The 22,967-nt window shown below is 38.7% G+C and overlaps 1 annotated feature.

Annotated features, from left to right (window-relative positions):
- Positions 19,353–19,553: a silencer, noted in NCBI's record as "peak1794 fragment used in MPRA reporter construct". NCBI's record gives its function as "represses an SCP1 promoter by STARR-seq MPRAs in K562 erythroleukemia cells {active_cell/tissue: K562}" and the evidence as "EXISTENCE:reporter gene assay evidence [ECO:0000049][PMID:32103011]".

Raw genomic sequence — 22,967 nt, 5'->3', positions numbered from 1 at the left:
CCATTTTTCCTGCAGGGTTCCTAAAATGCCTTCCAGATGGGCTGTGTATTCTCACACTCAATTTAGCAACAGCTGCTATCAATCAACTTATGCAGGCTGTTCCTCCTGAAGAGTGATATAATGGCTTCTAATGTTCCTCCTGAAGAGTGATATAATGGCTTCTAAGTATTGGACAAAACTTCTACTTTTGAGCATTGTGAGGTTTTTCAACTGGCAAAACAAATCAAAGTTAAATAACTTTCCCATCTATACCTAGGCTCTAGGCTCTAGAGGAGGAGTGCCAATGGAGCTTTGAGAAACAAGGTAGGAGGAGAGAAAATTAGAACCCCAGATTGTCTATGGAGTAAGGACTTAGGGTGAGATAGGCCAAAGGCCCCTGAAAAGTTCTAAACCCTGAAAAGGTTTGGGGAGCATTAAAAAGTTAGTTAAACGTATACATTCTAGTTAATGAGTGAGAACATGGCTAGACCAAGTGGGATGTGAAAATGGCCTGGGACAGCTATGGGAAAGGGAAAATGGTAAAATAATTGTTGAACTTGAAAAAAGAAGCAACAGCAAACATTAAGTGATAAGAATAGTAAACAAACAAATAGCCAGTATCTTTGTTTCTTTAATTTTAAAATGGAAAGTGAAGTCAGCCAAACTATGTGCTGGGCTTCTCAGAGAGGCTCTTTGTGTAAGAAATGAAAAAATGCCAAAACAAGATTTTTAATACTGTGGCATATTTTAATTATTTACATGGAACAAATTAATAGTCTTAACTTCAAAACAGGGACAATGTAATTATGTTCTTTGCAAGAAACTTCTAGATTTTCTTTTTTAAGAAATGAATACCTGTGATGTAGTTTTCTCAGTTTAAAGTATTAATATATGATGAGTATTCCCTTCTTTCAGACCTGACAGTGTAGCTTTCTGATAAAGTACGTAACCTTAATAGGAAATGGAAGCCTTTTTCATGGGAAGCTTGGGCCAGAGAGGAACTCCTCCCACCCATCTGGCCTCACAGGTAGTGTGCTGAACAAGGTGAGCCTGCTCCTCCTCACTGTTATTCATGAGGGAACTTGTTTTAACTGTGCTTCTCTCATTAGGCAGATCAGTTGCCAGAGGGTGGCCTAGCACATGAGTAAATAAACTCCTGTATGGAACTTGGCCTACCACCTCAAGCCTGTTTTCAGGCCGGCTATGTGACAGATAGTAGGAAGACAGCAGGAATCAGAGGAAAGGGAAATATTTTTCTGTGAGCGGGAACCAAGGACCTAGGTACCTAACAAGCTGAGGGAATGAGGCCTCTGATGTCTGTGCCTCAGAGACGGACGTGTAATTGTGGGCATGCAATGAGTCTGTTGGCTTGTACAGCAGCTGCGTGTGTCTCTGTCTTTGTTGTTTCTTCTGCATTTTGTCTCTATCCCACAGAGATCTCAATAGCTGGCCTCTCTGCCCAGCTCAGCCCACTTTCTGGGCCCCTTCCTGTTCTCTCATCTTGTTTCTGCTAGTGGGTCTGATTATTTGATCAAGGAGCTCTAGGAAAAATCTATTTCTTTATCAAACCCCAAATTTTCTCAGACGCAATCTCTCTTTCCCGCTCTGAGGGACTCTTTAGTCTCTTACAGTCTCTGTCCTCCTTTTATCAAACCTGGCTTTTAGAAGATCTGATAAGCCTGCTTGCACTCAGGAGACACAACTGTGCCATTCCCTTCCCAAAGTTTCTGCATCTTAAGAAGCAACAAAGTTTCATGTCAAATCAAGCACTCTCTAATTGTGCAATTTCAAGCACCAATAGAAAGAGAGACTCTCTTTGGAAGAGTTTGTTGGGTGTTTCTGTGTGTTTGGAATTTTAATTTAATAAATAAGCCATCATTTTTATCTATAAAATATAGATTACAATAATACCTACACAAAAGGAAATTTCAGCTTAAAGTGAGATAGTGCATATGCCTAGCCCAGTGCCACATACAAAAGTTTGTGGTAAATATCATTTGCTGCTGTGGCTGTTAGTATTCAGCTGTGCCTCTATTATAGGCCCTGGGCTAGGCAATGAAGACCACTGGATACAATAACAACAAAACAGTTTTCCAGCTTAAAGAGAAATAATTTGTATTTGGACAGCTTAGTTTACTCTTTCCCAAAAATGTTGTCTTATGTATTAACTCACTCAACTCTCTTATTCTCCCCATTCCCTCCCAATTTCTTTTCACATTTTCTTAGTCTCCAAGAGACTAGGAGATTCCAAGTACTTGCCAAAGGTCCACATCTAGATTGGAACAGGTGTTTTTTTTTTAAGTGAACATGAGTTAAAGGTATATATATCACAGCAAAATACACTCAGAACAAAACATCCTCACCAAATTACTGAACTCAAGGCTGTGGGAGAGGAAGGCCAAAGAAGCCGAGAAAACCTCCTCAATGTTTTTTACTTAAAGCATGCATGCGAGTTTTGATTCAGAAAATATTATCTCTATAAATGTAATATGCTAATGGGAAGTGATTAAAAACTGTTTCTTAAAACTGAGGTATTATTCATATTGTCACATTGGAAGAGCCGTGTGTGTGTGTGTGTGTGTGTGTGTGTGTGTGTGTGTTCAAGTGGAGTGGAGGTTAGTAGAGGGATACTCAGGATGAGTAGTTAGACAGTAAAATAAGCTCTATGTTGCAGTATATCATCTATAAAAGTGAGCACTTAATTAATTCAAGAGCACACCTGTTATTTTAATTACGATTCTGTCAGTAAATTTTAGTGCCCGTGAGAGGTACTGAAGTGGAATTGCATTTCACCTTCTCTGGCACAACAACAAAGGAAGACAAACTCCACTGACTCTACCCCTCTTTGCCACCATATGGAATCTGAATACCAGAATCTAGGATTCTAATTGAGTGATCTGTTCCTACTTGTTTCACAGTTTTTTTTTGCCATTGTGAAGGGATCTACTCTATTTAAGGCTTAACTGGTTATTGCTACTATATACCACTACATTTCCATGACTTATTTTGGCGACCTTAGATTTGATATTCTCCCAAAGCTCACTCTCTTGCTTTGGCCCCTTGAGAGTGGAAAGTGACCATGATGGCAACAATAAAGCCAGAGGAGAAGACTGCAGGAGGAAAGCAATGTTCTAGCAAATGTGGGGCAGAGACATCTGCATTCTTCAGTGTGACAGTGGAGAAGCTCTGGGAATTCAGCACCACTGGGACTGGAAAGTAGTGACAGTGGGTCTTTGCTACAGAAATCCCTGCCACCTCCCTAACCCCATCCCCAAACACATATGCACATAGAGATACGGGAGGGGGGTAGGGAAGTGCTGGGTAGTGAAAGGCAGGGTCCCAGGCAAGGGCTTCACCCTCGGGCCTGTACCCACAGACCTAGACGAACACAGGCACTCCTGTTTTCATGCCCAAGAGTTGCATTTTCCAAGACCACCGTGGCCTGCCACACCCCCAATCCTGTGCCCGTAAAAAGCCGGAGACCCTAGGAGGCACACACTTAAGCAGCTGGACATCAAGAGGAACACACCGGCAGAAGAACGCACAGGCGGCTGGACGTGGAGAGGAACAGAGGAGTGGAAAAGCACAACAACAGACACCGGCAGACGCCGGCAGGCCATTGACTAGCGGAACAACGTGGACGCCAAGGGGAATTTGGCCAGGGTGGTCAGAGGAGAGTCCAGCTGCTGAGCAGCCCGACTCCAGGGGAAAGTCACCTTCCCTCTCCATACCCCTTCTAGCTCCCCATCCATCTGCTGAGAGCTACTTCCACCATTCAGTAAAACCTTCCACTCATTCTCCAAGCCCACGTGTGATCCGATTTTTCCAGTACACCAAGGCAAGAGCCCCAAGATACAGAAAGCCCTCTGTCCTTGCGATGAGGCACCAAGTCTAATTGAGCTGATTAATGCAAGCCGAAATTAATGCAAGCCAAATTAATGCAAAACTGAAAGAGCACACTGTAACACACGCCCACTGGGGTTCAGGAGCTCTAAACATTCACCCCTAGATGCTGCCGAGGAGTCAGAGCCCATGCTTTCCTGTTTGTGTGCCTGCTCCAGTTAAGGGTTTTGAGCAGGGGGGCACGAAGAAGTGAGCCACTCCCACATCGCTCACCCTGTAAGGGGGACAAGGGAACTTTTCCTGTTTCCATAGTGTGATTGGCCATGGTTCCTGGCTGTGTGGTGGCTTCTGGCTCTAGTTCTCGTGCCCTGTCACAAATTCTGTGAACTGGCTAATATCCTTTAATATGTTCCTTTTAAAAAATTTAAACAGATCCCAGTTCCCTACCTAGTCTCTATGAACTGCTGTAATAGTTAAAAAAATTAATAGGTTATATGCACTGACATGGAATGCCCAAAACATTGTGATAAAAGCAAAATGCAGAATCAGAAAACAAAATGGCATATTTCTTCGTGTGTGTTTGTGTGTGTGTGTGTATATATATATTTAGTATATATATATATATTTAGTATATGTATACACACATACATATACACACATATACACATATATACACATGTGTATATGTATATACACACATATATACACATGTGTGTATGTATATACACACATACATATATATACACACGTATACATATATAATATATATATTTGTAAATGCAAAGAGAACCTCTGAGAGAAAACAAACTTAACTGATATAACTGATAATAGTGGCAACCTCTGGCAGGGGAGTGGGAATACGAGGTGGAATGGGAGAAATACACCTAGACTTGTGTCTTTTACTCTTTATATTTTTTCTTGAATTTTTGTAAGACGATGCTTTCAAATATTGATTATATACTCAACACGGTATAACAAAATGAACAGAACAATCAACAGGCTAGAGTGTAGCAAACAGAGAACAGGAGTTGCCAGCTCATTTTCAGCTTGATTCTATTCAATTAATGTTATAAGAACCACCTGTGTGCTGAATATATCATAGATGAAAATGAATAAGAAAGGACCCCAGCACTCTCCATGGACCAGATAAGCAGATACACAAACAGATGAAGACCATATAATGTTCTAACTGGAAGGATAGCAACACAAAGAGTTTTTGTGGGGAGCCCCTAGAAGGATCCTCCTAACCTGCTTGCTGAGTTATTCTCTCTAGGTAAGGGATTCATATTTTATTTTTTATTGATACATAATATTCATACATTTATGGGGTACATATAATTTTTGCTACGTGCATAGAATGTGTAATGATCAAGTCAGGATATTTAGGGTATCCATCACTCAAGTATTTATTATTTCTATGTGTTGAGAGCATTTCAAGTCCTCTTTTCTAGCTATTTTGAAATATATGAATCATTGTTGTTAATTATAGTCATCCTACTCTGCTACCAAACATTGGAATTCATTTCTTCTGTCCCATATGTTTGTACACATTAAGGAATCTCTCTTCAATTCCCCACTTGACCCTTCCCAGACACTGATATCTGTCATTCTACTCTCTGCCTCCATGAGATCAACTTTTTTAGCATCCACATATGAATGAGAACATGCAATATTTGTCTTTCTGTGCCTGGCTTATTTCACTTAACATAATGACCTCCAGTTCCATCCATATTGCAGCAAATGACAGGACTTCATTCTTTTTTATTCTTTTCATGACCATAAAGTATTCCATTGTATATATATACATATACACCACTTTTTCTTTATCCATTTATCCATTGATGGATACTTAGGTTGATTCCACATCTTTATTTTTTTTTTCATATACCTGCTGGCTATTTGTATGTATTCTTTTGAGAAATGTCTATGCATGTCCTTTGCCCACTTTTTAATGGACAAGAGTTGTTGGTTGTTTGGTTTTTACATAGTGATTTGTTTGAGTTTCTTATATTTTTTGGATATTAGTCACTTTTCATATGAATAGTTTGCAAATATTTCCTCCCATTAATCCTCCCTCTTCACTCTGTTGATTGTTTCCTTTGCTGTGCAGAAGCCTTTTAGCTTAATATAGTTCATTTCATCTACCTTTGTTTCTCTTGCCTGGGCTTTTGAAGTCTTAGTCATAAAATCTTTGCCTAGACCAATGTCCTGAAGTGTTTTTCCTATGTTTTCTTCTGGTATTTTTAGTTTTGGGTCTTAAATTTAAGTCTTAATCCATCTTGAGTTGGGTTTTGTATGTGCTAAGAGATAGGGGTCCATTTTTATTCTTCTGCATATGGATAGCCCATTTCCCTAGCACCGTTTATTGAACAAAGTGTCTTTTCCCCAATGTGTGTTCTTGGCACCTTTGTCAAAAATCAGTTGGCTGTATATATGTGGATTTATTTCTGTGTTCTCTATTCTGTTTCATTGGTCTATGTATTGTTTTTATACTAATACCATGCTGTTTTAGTTAGTTTTCATACCAATGCCATGTTGTTTTGGTTATGATAGACTTTTAATGTATTCGGAAGACAGGTAATGTGATGCCTCCAATTTTGTTCTTTTTGCTAAGAATTTCTTGGCCGTTCAAGCTTTTATTCAGTTCCATACACATTTTAGGATTGTTTTTTCTATTTCTGTTAAAATGACATTGTTATTTTGATAGAGATTGCACTGAATCTGTATATTGCTTTGGGTAGTAAGGTAATTAAACAATATTAGTTTTTCTTATCTGTGAGCATGGGATGTTTTTCCATTTGCTTGCCTCCTCTTTAATGTTTTTCAGAAGTGTTTTATAGATGTCTTTCACCTCCTTGGTTAAATATATTCCCAAGTAATTTTTTATGGCTATTGTAAATAGGATTACATTCTTTTAAATTTTTATTTACTTTTTGTTTTCTCAATTTTTTTTAATACATGGGGGGGTCTTACTATGTTGCTCAGGCTGGTCTTGAACCCCTAGCCTCAAGCAATCCTGCCGCTTCAACCTTCTTACTAGCCAGGATTGCAGGTATAAGCCATGTGCCCAGCTGAGATTGCCTTCTTGACTTAATTCTCAGCTAACTCATTATTGGTGTATACAAATACTACTGATTTTTATATGTTGATTTTGTATCCTGCGACTTTATTGAGTGTATTTATCAGATCCAAGAGTTTTTTGGTAGAGCGTTTAGGTTTTTTAAGATTTAAGATCAATTCATCTGAAGAGAAACAACGTGATTTCCTTTTTTTCTGATTTGGATGCTTTTTATTTCTGTCTTTTGCGTGATTGCTCTGGCTAGGGTCTCCAGTATTATGTTGAATAGAAGTGGTGAAAGTGGGCATCCTTATCTTGTTTCAGTATTTAGAAGAAAGGCTTTCAGCTTTTCACCATTCAGTATGTTAGCTGTGTGTTTGTCATATATGGCCTTATTTATTGAGGTATGTTTCTTCTATGGCTAATTTGTTGAGAGTTTTTATCACGAAGTAATGTTGAATTTTATTAAATGCTTCTTCTGCATGTATTGAAATGATCATGTGATTTTTGCCCTGCATTTGGTTGTTGTGATGTATCACATTTATTGATTTGCATATGTTGAACCATCTTTGCATCCCTGGGATAAATTTCACTTGGTAGTATTGTGTTATCTTTTTAATGTACTCTTGGATTTGGTTTGCTAGAATTTAGTTATGGATTTAGTTATGGATTTTTCTATGTTCATCAAGGATATTGGCCTGAAGTTTTCTGTTTTGGTTGCATCTTTGTCTGGCTTTCGTATTATGGTAATACTGGTCTTATAGAATGAGTTAGGAAGAATTCCCATCTCTTCAATTTTTTGGAATAGTTTGAGGAGAATTGATTTTAGTTCTTCTTTGTAAGTTTGGTAAAATTCAGCAGTAAATCCATCTGGTCCCAGCCTTTTCTTTGTTGGGAGACTGTCTAGCTGATTCAATTTCATTACTCCTTTCTGGTCTGTTCAGGTTTTCTATTTGTTTCTGATTCAATTTTGATAGGTTGTATGTGTTCACGAATTTATCTATTTCCTCCAGGTTTTCCAGTTTGTTAGCATATAGTTGTTCATTATATTCTCTGATGATCATATGTATTTCTGTGGTATGAGTTGCAATGTATCCTTTTGTGTTTCTGATTTTATTTGGGTCTTTTCTTGATTAGTCTAGCTGGTGGTTTATTGATTTTGCTTATCTCTTCAAAAAACCAACTTTTTGTTATCCTTCATATTTCTTTATTTCATTTAGTTCTACTCAGATCTTTATTATTTATTTACTTTTGATAATTTGAGGTTTGGTTTGTTCTTGCTTTTCTAATTACTCGAGGTGCCTCATTAGATTATTTGAAATATTTCTACATTTTTCAAATTTTTTATATTCATTTTTTGTGGGTACATAGGAGGTATACATATTTATGGAATACATGAGAAATTTTGATACAGGTATGCAATGCATCATAATCACATCAGAGTAAATGGGATATTTATCAAGCATTTATCTTTTCTGTTACAAACAATCCAATTATATTCTTTTAGTTATTTTAAAATGTACAATTAAATTATTATTAACTATACTCGCCCCACCCTCTTGTGCTATCAAATACTAGGTCTCATTCACATTCTCTAATTACTTTTTTTGTACCTATTAACCATTTCCACTTCCCCACTACCCCCCAACTCGCCTTCCCAGCCTCTGATAATATCCTTCTACTCTATTTCCATGAATTCAATTGTTCTCATTTTTAGCTCCCACAAATAAGTGAGAACATGCAAAGTTTATCTTTCTGTGCCTGGCTTATTTCACTTAACATGATGACCTCCAGTTCCATTCATGTTGTTGCAAAGGACAGCATCTCATTGTTTTTATGGCTGAATAGTACTCCATTGTATATATGTACCAAATTTTCTCTATCCATTCATCTTTTGATGGACACAGGTTGCTTCAAAAGCTTGGCTATTGTAAATAGTGCTGCAATAAACATGGGAGTGCAGATTTCTCTTTCATATACTGATTTCCTTTCTTTTGGGTATATACCCAGCAGTGAGATGGCTGGATCATATGATAACTCTTTCTAGTTTTTTGAGGACCCTCCAAATTGTTCTCCATAGTGGTGATATTTGTTTATTTTCCCACCAACAGTGGACAAGGGTTCCTTTCTCTTCACATCTTTGCCAGCATTTGTTATTGTCTGTCTTTTGAATATTTAAAAATTTATTTTGTGACCTAATATATGACCCATCCTTGAGAATGATACATGTGCTGAGAAGAATGTATTCTGCAGCCACTGAAATAAATGTTCTGTAAATATCTATTAGGTCCATTTAGTCTATAGTGCAGATTAAATCTGATGTTCGTTTGTTGACATTCTGTCTGGAAGATCTGTCCAATGCTGAAAGGCTGAAATGAGGTAAAGTGATATCCCATTGTAGTTTTAATTTGCATTTCTCTGAAAATCAGTGACGTTGAGCATCTTTTCATATACCTGTTTGCCATTTGCATGTCTTCTTTTGAAAAATGTCTATTCAGATATTTTGCCCATTTTAAAATCAGATTATTAGATTTTTTCCAATAGAGTTGTTTTAGCTCCTTATAAATTCTGATTATTAAACTCTTGTCAGATGGATAGTTTGCACATATTTTCTCCCATTCTATGGGTTGTCTCTTCATTTTGTTAATTGTTTCCTTTGCTATGCAGAAGCTTTGATCCAATTTGTCCATCTTTGCTTTGATTGCCTGTTCTCGTAGGGTATTACTCAAGAAACTAATGCCCAGTGCAATGTCCGGGAGAGTTTCCCCAATGTTTTCTTTTAGTAGTTTCATAGTTTGAGGTCTTATATTTAAGTCTTTAATTCATTTTGATTTGATTTTTGTATGAGGTAAGAGATAGAAGTCAAGTTTCGTTCTTCAGCATATGAATATCTAGTTTTCCAAACACCATTTATTGAAGAGATTTTTCTTTCCCCAGTGCATGTTCTTGACACCTTTGTTGAAAATGAGTTCACTATAGGTGTATGGGTTTATTTCTGGGCTTTCTATTCTGTTTCATTGGTCTATGTGTCTGTTTTAATGACAGTACCATGCTGTTTTTGTTACCATAGTTCTGCAGTATATATATATATATATTTTTAGATGGAAACTTGCTCTGTCACCCAGATTGGAGTGCAGTGGGGTGATCTCAGCTCACTACAACCTCCATCTCCTGGGTTCAAGCAATTCTCCTGCCTCAGCTCCCATGTAGCTGGGATTACAGGCATGTGCCACAACACCCAGCTAATTTTTTTGTATTTTTAGTAGAGACGGGATTTCACCATGTTGGCCAGGCTGGTCTCAAACTCCTGACCTCAGGTGATCCACCCGCCTTAGCCTCCCAAAATGCTGGGATTACAAGTGTGAGCCACCATGCCTGGCCAGTATAATTTGAAGTTAGTTACTGTGATTCCTCTGGTTTTCTTCTTTTTATTTAGGATAGCTTTGGCTATTTTGTGGTTTTTGTGGTTCCATGTAAATTTTAAGATTGTTTTTCCTCTTTTTGTGAAGAATGTAATTGGTATTTTGATAAGGATTGCATTGAATCTCTAGATTGCTTTGGGTAGTATAGACATTTTAACAATACTTATTCTTCTAATCCATGACCATGAAATATCTTTTTATTTTTTGTGTCCTCTTCAATTTCTTTCATCAGTGTTTTATAGTTTTCATTATAGAGATCTTTCACTTCTTTGCCTAAGTATTTAATTTTATTTGCAGCTATTGTAAATGGGATTATTATTTTACTGATTTCTTCTTCAGATTGCTTGCTCTTGGCATATAAAAATGCTACTAATTTTTACATGTTAATTTTGTATCCTGCAACTTTACTGAATTTATTAGCTCTAATAGTTGTGTGTGCGGAATCTTTAGCTTTTTCCAAACATGAAATAATATCATTTGCAAACAAGGATAATTTGACTTCTTCATTTACAATTTGGATGCCCTTTATGTCTTTCCCTGGTCTGATTGCTCCAGCCAAGACTTCAAGTACTATGTTGAATAACAGTGGTGAAAGTGGGCATCTTTGTCACGTGCCAGATCACAAAAGGAAGTTTTTCAGTTTTACCCCATTCAGTGTCATACTAGCTGTGTGTCTCTTGTATATGGCTTTGAGTATGTTGATGTATATTACTTCTATACCTAGTTTTTTGAGCATTTTTATCATGAAGGGATGTAGAATTTTATCAAATGCTTATTCGGCATCAATTGACATGATCATGTGATTTTCCTCTTTCATCCTGTAGATATGATGTATCACATTGATTGATTTGTGTATATCAAACCATCCTTGCATCCCTGGGATAAATCCCACTTGGTTATGAGAAGTAATCTTTTTAATGTGTTGTTGAATTCAGTTTGCTATTATTTTTTTGAGAATTTTTGCATCAATATTCATCAGGGATATTGGCCTATGGTTTTCCTTTTTTGTTGTGCCTTTGTTTGGTTTTGGTATCAGGGAAATACTGGCCTCATAAACTAAGTTTGGAAGTATTTCCTCTTCCTCCATTTTTTGGAATAGTTTAAGTAGGATTGCTATTAATTCTTCTTTAAGTGTTTAGTAGAATTTAGCAGTGAAGCCATAGGTCTGAGTTTTTCCTTGCTGGGAGACATTTTATTGTGACTTTGATCACATAACTTGCTATTAATCTGTTTAGGTTTTGGATTTCTTTATGTTTCAATATTGGTAGGTTGTATGTGTCTAGAAATTTATTCATTTCTTCTAGATTTTCCAATTTATTAGCATATAGTTGTTCATGGTAGCCACTAATGATCCCTCAAATTTCTATAATATCAGTTGTAATGTTTGTTTTTTCATCTCTGATTTTATTTATTTTATTTATTCTCTCTTTTTTTTCTTTATCAGTCTGGCTAAAGGTTTGTCAATTCTTTTTATCTTTTCGAAAAACAAACTTTTAGTTTTGATAATCTTTTATATTGTTTTCTTCATTTCAATTTAATTTATTCCTGCTCTAATTTTTATTATTTCTTTTCTTCTGCTAATTTTGGGTTTGGGTTGCTCTTGCTTTTCTACTTATTTAAGATGGATGATTTAGTTATTTATTTGAAGTTTTACTTCTTTTTTGATATAGGCACTTTTAGCTATAAACGTCCCTCTTAGTACTGCTTACATTGTATCCCATAGGTTTTGGTATGTTGTGTATCCATTATCATTTGTTTTAAGAAATTTTTCAATTTCCTTCTTAATTTCTTCATTGACTCACTGGTCAGTTAGGAGCATATTGTTTCATTTCCACGTGTTTATATAATTTCCAAAATCCCTCTTGTTATTGATGTCTAGTTCTGTTCCATTGTGGTCAGAGAAGATTCTTGATATTATTATAATATTTTTGAATATTTTAAAATGTATTTTGTAACCTACAATATGGTCTATCCTTGAGAATGATACATGTGCTGATAAAAAGAACATATTCTGCAGTCACTGGATAAAATGTTCTGTTAATATCTATTAGGTCCATTTGGTCTACCGTGCAGATTAAGTCTGATGTTTCCTTGTTGATTTTCTGTCTGGAAGATCTGTCCAATGCTGAAAGTGGTGTATTGAAGTCTCTAGGTATTATTGTATCATGGTGTGGTCTATCTCTCTTTAGCTCTAGTAATATTTGCTTTATATATCTAGGTGCTCCAGTGTTGGGTGCATTTATATTTAAAATTCTTATATTCTCTTGCTGAATTGACCCCTTTATCATTATATAATGACCTTCTTTGTCTCTTCCTATTGTTTTTGACTTGCAATCTATTTTGTCTGATATAAGTATAGCTACTCCGGCTTTTTTGTTTTCATTGGCATGGAATATCTTTTTCCATCCATTTGTTTTCAGTCTATGTGTGTCTTCATAGGTGAAGTGAGTTTCTTGTAGGTAACAAGTCATTGGATCTTGTTTTTTGTTTTATTTTAATCCATTCTGCCACTCTATGTCTTTTGATGGGAGGGTTTAGTCCATTTACATTCCATGTTTTTATTGATAAGTAAAGACTTACTCCTGCCATTTTGTTATTTGTTTTCAGATTGTTTTGTGGTCTTCTCTTCTTTTTTTTCTTCCTTCCTGTCATCCTTTCAGTGAAAGTTATTTTTTCTGGTGGTGTAATTTAATTTTTTGCTTTTTTGGTATGTGTATTCATTGTATGTTTTTTGATTTGAGATTAAAGTGAGGCTTGCAAATACTATCTTATAACCCATTATCTTAAACTGATGACAATTTAACACTGATTACATAAACAAACAAATAAAACTAAAAAAAACTAAAAAAACTCTACACTTTAATTTCCACTTTTTAAATTTTTGTTTTTCCTTTTGTCTTTTTATTTTATTTTATTTTATTTTTATTTCTTTTTTATTATACTTTAAGTTTTAGGGTACATGTGCACATTGTGCAGGTTAGTTACATATGTATACATGTGCCATGCTGGTGCGCTGCACCCACTAACTCGTCATCTAGCCTTAGGTATATCTCCCAATGCTATCCCTCCCCGCTCCCCCCACCCCACCACAGTCTCCAGAGTGTGATATTCCCCTCCACGTGTCCATGTGATCTCATTGTTCAGTTCCCACCCATGAGTGAGAATATGCGGTGTTTGGTTTTTTGTTCTTGCGATAGTTTACTGAGAATGATGATTTCCAATTTCATCCATGTCCCTACAAAGGACATGAACTCATCATTTTTTATGGCTGCATAGTATTCCATGGTGTATATGTGCCACATTTTCTTAATCCAGTCTATCATTGTTGGACATTTGGGTAGGTTCCAAGTCTTTGCTATTGTGAATAATGCTGCAATAAACATACGTGTGCATGTGTCTTTATAGCAGCATGATTTATAGTCATTTGGGTATATACCCAGTAATGGGATGGCTGGGTCAAATGGTATTTCTAGTTTTAGATCCCTGAGGAATCGCCACACTGACTTCCACAATGGTTGAACTAGTTTACAGTCCCACCAACAGTGTAAAAGTGTTCCTATTTCTCCACATCCTCTCCAGCACCTGTTGTTTCCTGACTTTTTAATGATTGCCATTCTAACTGGTGTGAGATGATATCTCATAGTGGTTTTGATTTGCATTTCTCTAATGGCCAGTGATGATGAGCATTTTTTCATGTGTTTTTTGGCTGCATAAATGTCTTCTTTTGAGAAGTGTCTGTTCATGTCCTTCGCCCACTTTTTGATGGGGTTGTTTTTTTTTTTCTTGTAAATTTGTTTGAGTTCATTGTAGATTCTGGATATTAGCCCTTTGTCAGATGAGTAGGTTGCGAAAATTTTCTCCCATTCTGTAGGTTGCCTGTTCACTCTGATGGTAGTTTCTTTTGCTGTGCAGAAGCTCTTTAGTTTAATTAGATCCCATTTGTCAATTTTGGCTTTTGTTGCCATTGCTTTTGGTGTTTTGGACATGAAGTCCTTGCCCATGCCTATGTCCTGAATGGTAATGCCTAGGTTTTCTTCTAGGGTTTTTATGGTTTTAGGTCTAACATTTAAATCTTTAATCCATCTTGAATTGATTTTTGTATAAGGTGTAAGGAAGGGATCCAGTTTCAGCTTTCTACATATGGCTAGCCAGTTTTCCCAGCACCATTTATTAAATAGGGAATCCTTTCCCCATTGCTTGTTTTTCTCAGGTTTGTCAAAGATCCGATAGTTGTAGGTATGCGGCGTTATTTCTGAGGGCTCTGTTCTGTTCCATTGATCTATATCTCTGTTTTGGTACCAGTACCATGCTGTTTTGGTTACTGTAGGCTTGTAGTATAGTTTGAAGTCAGGTAGTGTGATGCCTCCAGCTTTGTTCTTTTGGCTTAGGGTTGACTTGGCGATGCGGGCTCTTTTTTGGTTCCATATGAACTTTAAAGTAGTTTTTTCCAATTCTGTGAAGAAAGTCATTGGTAGCTTGATGGGGATGGCATTGAATCTGTAAATTACCTTGGGCAGTATGGCCATTTTCACGATATTGATTCTTCCTACCCATGAGCATGGAATGTTCTTCCATTTGTTTGTATCCTCTTTTATTTCCTTGAGCAGTGGTTTGTAATTCTCCTTGAAGAGGTCCTTCATATCCCTTGTAAGTTGGATTCCTAGGTATTTTATTCTCTTTGAAGCAATTGTGAATGGGAGTTCACTCATGATTTGGCTCTCTGTTTGTCTGTTGCTGGTGTATAAGAATGCTTGTGATTTTTGTACATTGATTTTGTATCCTGAGACTTTGCTGAAGTTGCTTATCAGCTTAAGGAGATTTTGGGCTGAGACGATGGGGATTTCTAGATGAACAATCATGTCGTCTGCAAACAGGGACAATTTGACTTCCTCTTTTCCTAATTGAATACCCTTTATTTCCTTCTCCTGACTGATAGCCCTGGCCAGAACTTCCAACACTACATTGAATAGGAGTGGTGAGAGAGGGCATCCCTGTCTTGTGCCAGTTTTCAAAGGGAATGCTTCCAGTTTTTGCCCATTCAGTATGATATTGGCTGTGGGTTTGTCATAGATAGCTCTTATTATTTTGAAATACGTCCCATCAATACCTAATTTATTGAGAGTTTTTAGCATGAAGGGTTGTTGAATTTTGTCAAAGGCTTTTTCTGCATCTATTGAGATAATCATGTGGTTTTTGTCTTTGGCTCTGTTTATATACTGGATTACATTTATTGATTTGCATATATTGAACCAGCCTTGCATCCCAGGGATGAAGCCCACTTGATCATGGTGGATAAGCTTTTTGATGTGCTGCTGGATTCCGTTTGTCAGTATTTTATTGAGGATTTTTGCATCAATGTTCATCAAGGATATTGGTCTAAAATTCTCTTTTTTGGTTGTGTCTCTGCCCGGCTTTGGTATCAGAATGATGCTGGCCTCATAAAATGAGTTAGGGAGGATTCCCTCTTTTTCTATTGATTGGAATAGTTTCAGAAGGAATGGTACCAGTTCCTCCTTGTACCTCTGGTAGAATTCGGCTGTGAATCCATCTGGTCCTGGACTCTTTTTGGTTGGTAAACTATTGATTATTGCCCCAATTTCAGCTCCTGTTATTGGTCTATTCAGAGATTCAACTTCTTCCTGGTTTAGTCTTGGGAGAGTGTATGTGTCGAGGAATGTATCCATTTCTTCTAGATTTTCTAGTTTATTTGCGTAGAGGTGTTTGTAGTATTCTCTGATGGTAGTTTGTATTTCTGTGGGATCAGTGGTGATATCCCCTTTATCATATTTTATTGTGTCTATTTGATTCTTCTCTCTTTTTTTCTTTATTAGTCTTGCTAGCGGTCTATCAATTTTGTTGATCCTTTCAAAAAACCAGCTCCTGGATTCATTGATTTTTTGAAGGGTTTTTTGTGTCTCTATTTCCTTCAGTTCTGCTCTGATTTTAGTTATTTCTTGCCTTCTGCTAGCTTTTGAATGTGTTTGCTCTTGCTTTTCTAGTTCTTTTAATTGTGATGTTAGGGTGTCAATTTTGGATCTTTCCTGCTTTCTCTTGTGGGCATTCAGTGCTATAAATTTCCCTCTACACACTGCTTTGAATGCGTCCCAGAGATTCTGGTATGTTGTGTCTTTGTTCTCGTTGGTTTCAAAGAACATCTTTATTTCTGCCTTCATTTCGTTATGTACCCAGTAGTCATTCAGGAGCAGGTTGTTCAGTTTCCATGTAGTTGAGCAGCTTTGAGTGGGATTCTTAATCCTGAGTTCTAGTTTGATTGCACTGTGGTCTGAGAGATAGTTTGTTATAATTTGTGTTCTTTTACATTTGCTGAGGAGAACTTTACTTCCAACTATGTGGTCAATTTTGGAATAGGTGTGGTGTGGTGCTGAAAAGAATGTATATTCTGTTGATTTGGGGTGGAGAGTTCTGTAGATGTCTATTAGGTCCGCTTGGTACAGAGCTGAGTTCAATTCCTGGGTATCCTTGTTGACTTTCTGTCTCGTTGATCTGTCTAATGTTGACAGTGGGGTGTTAAAGTCTCCCATTATTAATGTGTGGGAGTCTAAGTCTCTTTGTAGGTCACTCAGGACTTGCTTTATGAATCTGGGTGCTCCTGTATTGGGTGCATATATATTTAGGATAGTTAGCTCCTCTTGTTGAATTGATCCCTTTACCATTATGTAATGGCCTTCTTTGTCTCTTTTGATCTTTGTTGGTTTAAAGTCTGTTTTATCAGAGACTAGGATTGCAACCCCTGCCTTTTTTTGTTTTCCATTTGCTTGGTAGATCTTCCTCCATCCTTTTATTTTGAGCCTATGTGTGTCTCTGCACATGAGATGGGTTTCCTGAATACAGCACACTGATGGGTCTTGACTCTTTATCCAACTTGCCAGTCTGTGTCTTTTAATTGGAGCATTTAGTCCATTTACATTTAAAGTTAATATTGTTATGTGTGAATTTGATCCTGTCATTATGATGTTAGCTGGTTATTTTGCTCGTTAGTTGATGCAGTTTCTTCCTAGTCTCGATGGTCTTTACATTTTGGCATGATTTTGCAGCGGCTGGTACCGGTTGTTCCTTTCCATGTTTAGCGCTTCCTTCAGGAGCTCTTTTAGGGCAGGCCTGGTGGTGACAAAATCTCTCAGCATTTGCTTGTCTGTAAAGTATTTTATTTCTCCTTCACTTATGAAGCTTAGTTTGGCTGGATATGAAATTCTGGGGTGAAAATTCTTTTCTTTAAGAATGTTGAATATTGGTCCCCACTCTCTTCTGGCTTGTAGGGTTTCTGCCGAGAGATCCACTGTTAGTCTGATGGGCTTCCCTTTGAGGGTAACCCAACCTTTCTCTCTGGCTGCCCTTTACATTTTTTCCTTCATTTCAACTTCGGTGAATCTGACAATTATGTGTCTTGGAGTTGCTCTTCTCGAGGAGTATCTTTGTGGCGTTCTCTGTATTTCCTGAATCTGAACGTTGGCCTGCCTTGCTAGATTGGGGAAGTTCTCCTGGATAATATCCTGTAGAGTGTTTTCCAACTTGGTTCCATTCTCCGCATCACTTTCAGGTACACCAATCAGACGTAGATTTGGTCTTTTCACATAGTCCCATATTTCTTGGAGGCTTTGCTCATTTCTTTTTATTCTTTTTTCTCTAACCTTCCCTTCTCGCTTCATTTCATTCATTTCATCTTCCATTGCTGATACCCTTTCTTCCAGTTGATCGCATCGGCTCCTGAGGCTTCTGCATTCTTCACGTAGTTCTCGAGCCTTGGTTTTCAGCTCCATCAGCTCCTTTAAGCACTTCTCTGTATTGGTTATTCTAGTTATACATTCTTCTAAATTTTTTTCAAAGTTTTCAACTTCTTTGCCTTTGGTTTGAATGTCCTCCCGTAGCTCAGAGTAATTTGATCATCTGAAGCCTTCTTCTCTCAGCTCGTCAAAGTCATTCTCCATCCAGCTTTGTTCCGTTGCTGGTGAGGAACTGCGTTCCTTTGGAGGAGGAGAGGCGCTCTGCATTTTAGAGTTTCCAGTTTTTCTGTTCTGTTTTTTCCCCATCTTTGTGGTTTTATCTACTTTTGGTCTTTGATGATGGTGATGTACAGATGGGTTTTCGGTGTGGATGTCCTTTCTGTTTGTTAGTTTTCCTTCTAACAGACAGGACCCTCAGCTGCAGGTCTGTTGGAATACCCTGCCGTGTGAGGTGTCAGTGTGCCCCTGCTGGGGGGTGCCTCCCAGTTAGGCTGCTCGGGGGTCAGGGGTCAGGGACCCACTTGAGGAGGCAGTCTGCCCGTTCTCAGATCTCCAGCTGCGTGCTGGGAGAACCACTGCTCTCTTCAAAGCTGTCAGACAGGGACATTTAAGTCTGCAGAGGTTACCGCTGTCTTTTTGTTTGTCTGTGCCCTGCCCCCAGAGATGGAGCCTACACAGGCAGGCATGCCTCCTTGAGCTGTGGTGGGCTCCACCCAGTTCGAGCTTCCCGGCTGCTTTGTTTACCTAAGCAAGCCTGGGCAATGGCGGGCGCCCCTCCCCCAGCCTCGCTGCCGCCTTGCAGTTTGATCTCAGACTGCTGTGCTAGCAATCAGCGAGATTCCGTGGGCGTAGTACCCTCCGAGCCAGGTGTGGGATATAGTCTCGTGGTGCGCCGTTTTTTAAGCCGGTCTGAAAAGTGCAATATTCGGGTGGGAGTGACCCGATTTTCCAGGTGCGTCCGTCACCCCTTTCTTTGACTCAGAAAGGGAACTCCCTGGCCCCTTGCGCTTCCCAGGTGAGGCAATGCCTCGCCCTGCTTCGGCTCGCACCCGGTGCGCGCACCCACTGGCCTGCGCCCACTGTCTGGCACTCCCTAGTGAGATGAACCCGGTACCTCAGATGGAAATGCAGAAATCACCCGTCTTCTGCGTCGCTCACGCTGGGAGCTGTAGACTGGAGCTGTTCCTATTCGGCCATCATTCTTTTTGTCTTATTGTGCTGTGTCTTAAAAGCTGTAGTTATCATTTTTTAATTGGCTCATCTTTTAGTCTTTCTACTTAAGAATAACTTATGCACCAAATTTAGTGTTATCATATTCTGTGTTTTTCTGTGTACTTACTATTACTAGTCAGTTTTGTACCTTCAGGTGATTTCTTATTGCTCAGTAACATCCTTCTCTTTCTGATTGAACAACTCCCTTTAGCATTTCTCATAGGACAGGTCTGGTGTTGATGAAATCTCCCAGCTTTTATTTGTCTGGGGTTTTATTTCTCTTTCAGGTTTGAAAGATATTTTGCCAGATATGCTATTGTAGGGTGAAAGTTTTTCTCTTTCAGCACTTTAAAATGTCATGCCATTCTCTCCTGGCCTGTAAGGTTTCCACTGAAATGTCTGCTGAGAGATGTATTGGAGCTCCATAATGTGTTATTTGTTTCTTTTCTCTTGCTGCTTTTAGGAAACTTTATTTATCCTCGACCTTTGGGAGTTTTATTATTAAGTGTCTTGGAGGTAGTTTTCTTTGAGTTAAATCTACTTGGTGTTCTAGAACCTTCTTGTACTTGAATATTGGTATCTTTCTCTAAGTTTGGGACGTTCTTTGTTATTGTCCCTTTGAACTTTCTATACTTACCTCTTTCTCTACCTCCTCTTTAAAGCCAAGAACTCTTAGATTTGCCCATTTGAGGCTTTTTTCTAGATCATGTAAGTGTCCTTCCTTCTTTATTTTGTCTCCACTGACTGTATATTTTCAAATAGCCTATCTTCAAGTTCACCATTGTTTTTTCTTCTGCTTGATCAATTATGCTGTCAGGAGACTGATGAATTCTTCACTATGTCAATTGCATTTTCAACTCCAGAATTTTTCCTTTCATTCTTTAAAGTTCTTTCAATCTTTTTGTTAAATTTATCTGATAGAATTCTGAATTATTTCTCTGTGTTATCTTAAATTTATTTGAGCTTTCTCAAAACAGCTATTTTGAATTTTTTGTCTGAAAAGTCACATATATCTATGCTTCTCCAGGATTGGGTCCTCATGCCCTATTTAGTTCATTGGGTAAGGCCATGTTTTCTTGAATAGCCTTGATGCTTATCTTTCTTTGGTGTCTGGGCATTGAAAAATTAGGTATTCATTGTAGTCTTTGTTGTCTGGGCTTGTTTATACCTATACTTGCTAAGAATGCTTTCCAGGTATTCAAAGGGACCTGTGAATTGTGATCTAAGCCTTATCTGCATTAGGGGCACACCAAACCCAGTAACACTGTGGTTCTTGCAGGCTCATAGAGATTATGCGTTGGTGATCTTAAATTTGATCCAGAAGAATTCTGTGGATTACCATGCAGAGACTCTTGCTCTCGGGCCTTACTTTCTCTAAAATAAATGGAGCCTCTCTCTCTCTCTCTCTCTCTCTCTCTCTGTGTCTGCTGAGGCACCTGAAACAGGATATGGTGATGCAAGCACCCCTGTGGCCACCACCACTGGGACTGCACTGGGGGAGACTTGGAGCTAGCACAGTACTGTGTCTTGCCCAAGGCCTGCTGTAACCACCACCTCACTACCACCAATGTTTGCTCAAGGACCAAGTGCTCTACAATCAGCAGGTAGTGAAGCCAGCCAGGCTTATATCATTCCCCTCAGAGCAGCAAGATCCCCCAGACCCCAGGTTGGTCCAGAGATGCTATCCAGGAGCCAGGGACTGCAATAAAAAACCTTAGAAATCTACCTGGTACTCTTGCTCTATTCTACTGTGGTTAAGCTGGCACTCAAACCATGAGACAAAGTCCTTCCCACTCTTTCCTCCCCTTTCCATAGGCAGGGGAGCCTCACCCCATGGCTACCACCACCACAGGCCCATGGTGAGTACTTCCAGGCTACTGCCAATGTTCACTTAAGGCCCAAGTGCTCTTCAGTCAGCTTGTGAATGCTGCCAGGTGTCAAACTCATCCTTCAAGGCAGTGGGCTCCCCTCTGGCCTAGGACAGTTCCAAAAATGCCATTCAAGAGCCAAGTCTTGGAATCAGGGACCCCAAGAGCCCACTTGTTGCTCTATCCCACTGTGGCAGGTGCAAGACAAAGTCCCCTTTACTTTCCCCTCTGCTTTTCTCAAGCAGAAGGATTATATCCCCATAACCACCACAGCTGGGACTATGTTGGATCTCATACGAAACCAGCACATGTCAGAGTCTCACCCAAGGCCCATGGTATCACTGCTGGTTATTCTGAGCCCAAGGGCTCTTCAGTTAGAAGGTGCTGAATCCTGCCAGGACTAAATCCTTCCCTTCAAGGCAATAGATTCCCTTCTAGCCCAGGATGTGTCCAGAAATGTTGTCTGAGAGTTAGGACCTGGAAAGGGGGCCTCATGACTGCCTGGTGCCCTATCTTGCTGTGGTTGAGCTGGTATCCAAGATGCAAGAGAAAGTCCTTTTTACTCTTCATTCTTTCCTCAAGCAGAAGACACTGTACTGCCTGAGGCTGAGGGAGGGGTGGCACAAGCACTCCCTTTGCTGTCCCAGCTGGTGTCTCACTAGATCACTTGCCCCTCAACTCCACTAGCTCCAACCCCAGCACAGCACTAGACTTGCCTAAGAATTGCAGTTCTTGTGTACTAGACTACCTTTCACATTTATTTAGGACCCCAGAGGACTCTAGCTTATGGTGGTGAGGCTTGCCAAAACTCAATCTCTGACTGCTAGGATGGACAATCCCCCTCTGGCTAGGGCTGCTCTAAATGCTCCCTCTGTGGTCAGGCATTGGCTGAGTTCAGCCAAGTGTTCTTTCTGCTGTGATAGGGCCACATTGAGTTCAATGCAAAGTCCTACAGTTGCTGTGCTGTCCCTCCCCCAAGTGCACAGATTGTCTCTCCACACCAAGTAACTGCTGCTGGGAAATGAGGGAGGTGTGGTGTCAATGACTCAAGACCATCTTTCTTACCCTCTTCAGTGCCTCTTTCAGCAATATGAAGCTAAAACCAGGTACTGTGATAGCTCATCTGATTTTTTGTTCTCATGAAGGTGCTTTTTTTATGTACATTGTTGTTAAATTTGGTGTGTTCCTATTGGGGGACCATCAATAGAGGCTTCTATTCAACCATCTTGCTCTGCCTTTCCACTTTTTAAATGTAGGCATTTAGTGCTATGCTCCCCTCTTAGCACTGTTTTTGTTGTATCCCACAGGTTTTGGTATGTCGTGTTTCCATTTTCATTTGTTTTAAAAAAATTTTTTGATTTCCTCCTTAATTTCTTCCTTCACTCAGGAGCATGCTGATTAACCTTTATGTATTTATACAATTTCCAATGTTCCTCTTGTTATTGATTATTAGTTTCATTCTATTGTGATCTGAAAAGATACTTGATATGATTTTCATTTTTAAAAATTTTTTGAGACTTGTTTTGAGCTAACATATGGTTTATCTGCAAGAATGTTCCATGTAATGATGAGAAGAATGTGTATTCTGTAGCTGTTAAATGAAATGTTGTGCAAATGTCTGTTAGATGCACTTGGTCTAAAGTGTAGCTTAAATCCAGTGTTTCCTTGTTCATTTTCTGCCTAGATGATGTAACTATTGCTGAGAGTGGGGTGTTGAAGTCTCCAACTATTATTATATTGAAGTCTATCTCTCTTTTCAGACATAGTAATATTTGCTTTATGACTCTGCATGCTCTGGTGTTTGGGGCATATATGTTTAGAATTGCTATATCCTCATGCTGAA

The sequence above is a fragment of the Homo sapiens genome, chromosome 12 (assembly GCF_000001405.40).
Source record: "Homo sapiens chromosome 12, GRCh38.p14 Primary Assembly".
NCBI lineage: Eukaryota > Metazoa > Chordata > Mammalia > Primates > Hominidae > Homo > Homo sapiens.
The sequence above is the reverse complement of the archived record's forward strand: the minus strand, read 5'-3'. Positions and strand labels throughout refer to the sequence as shown.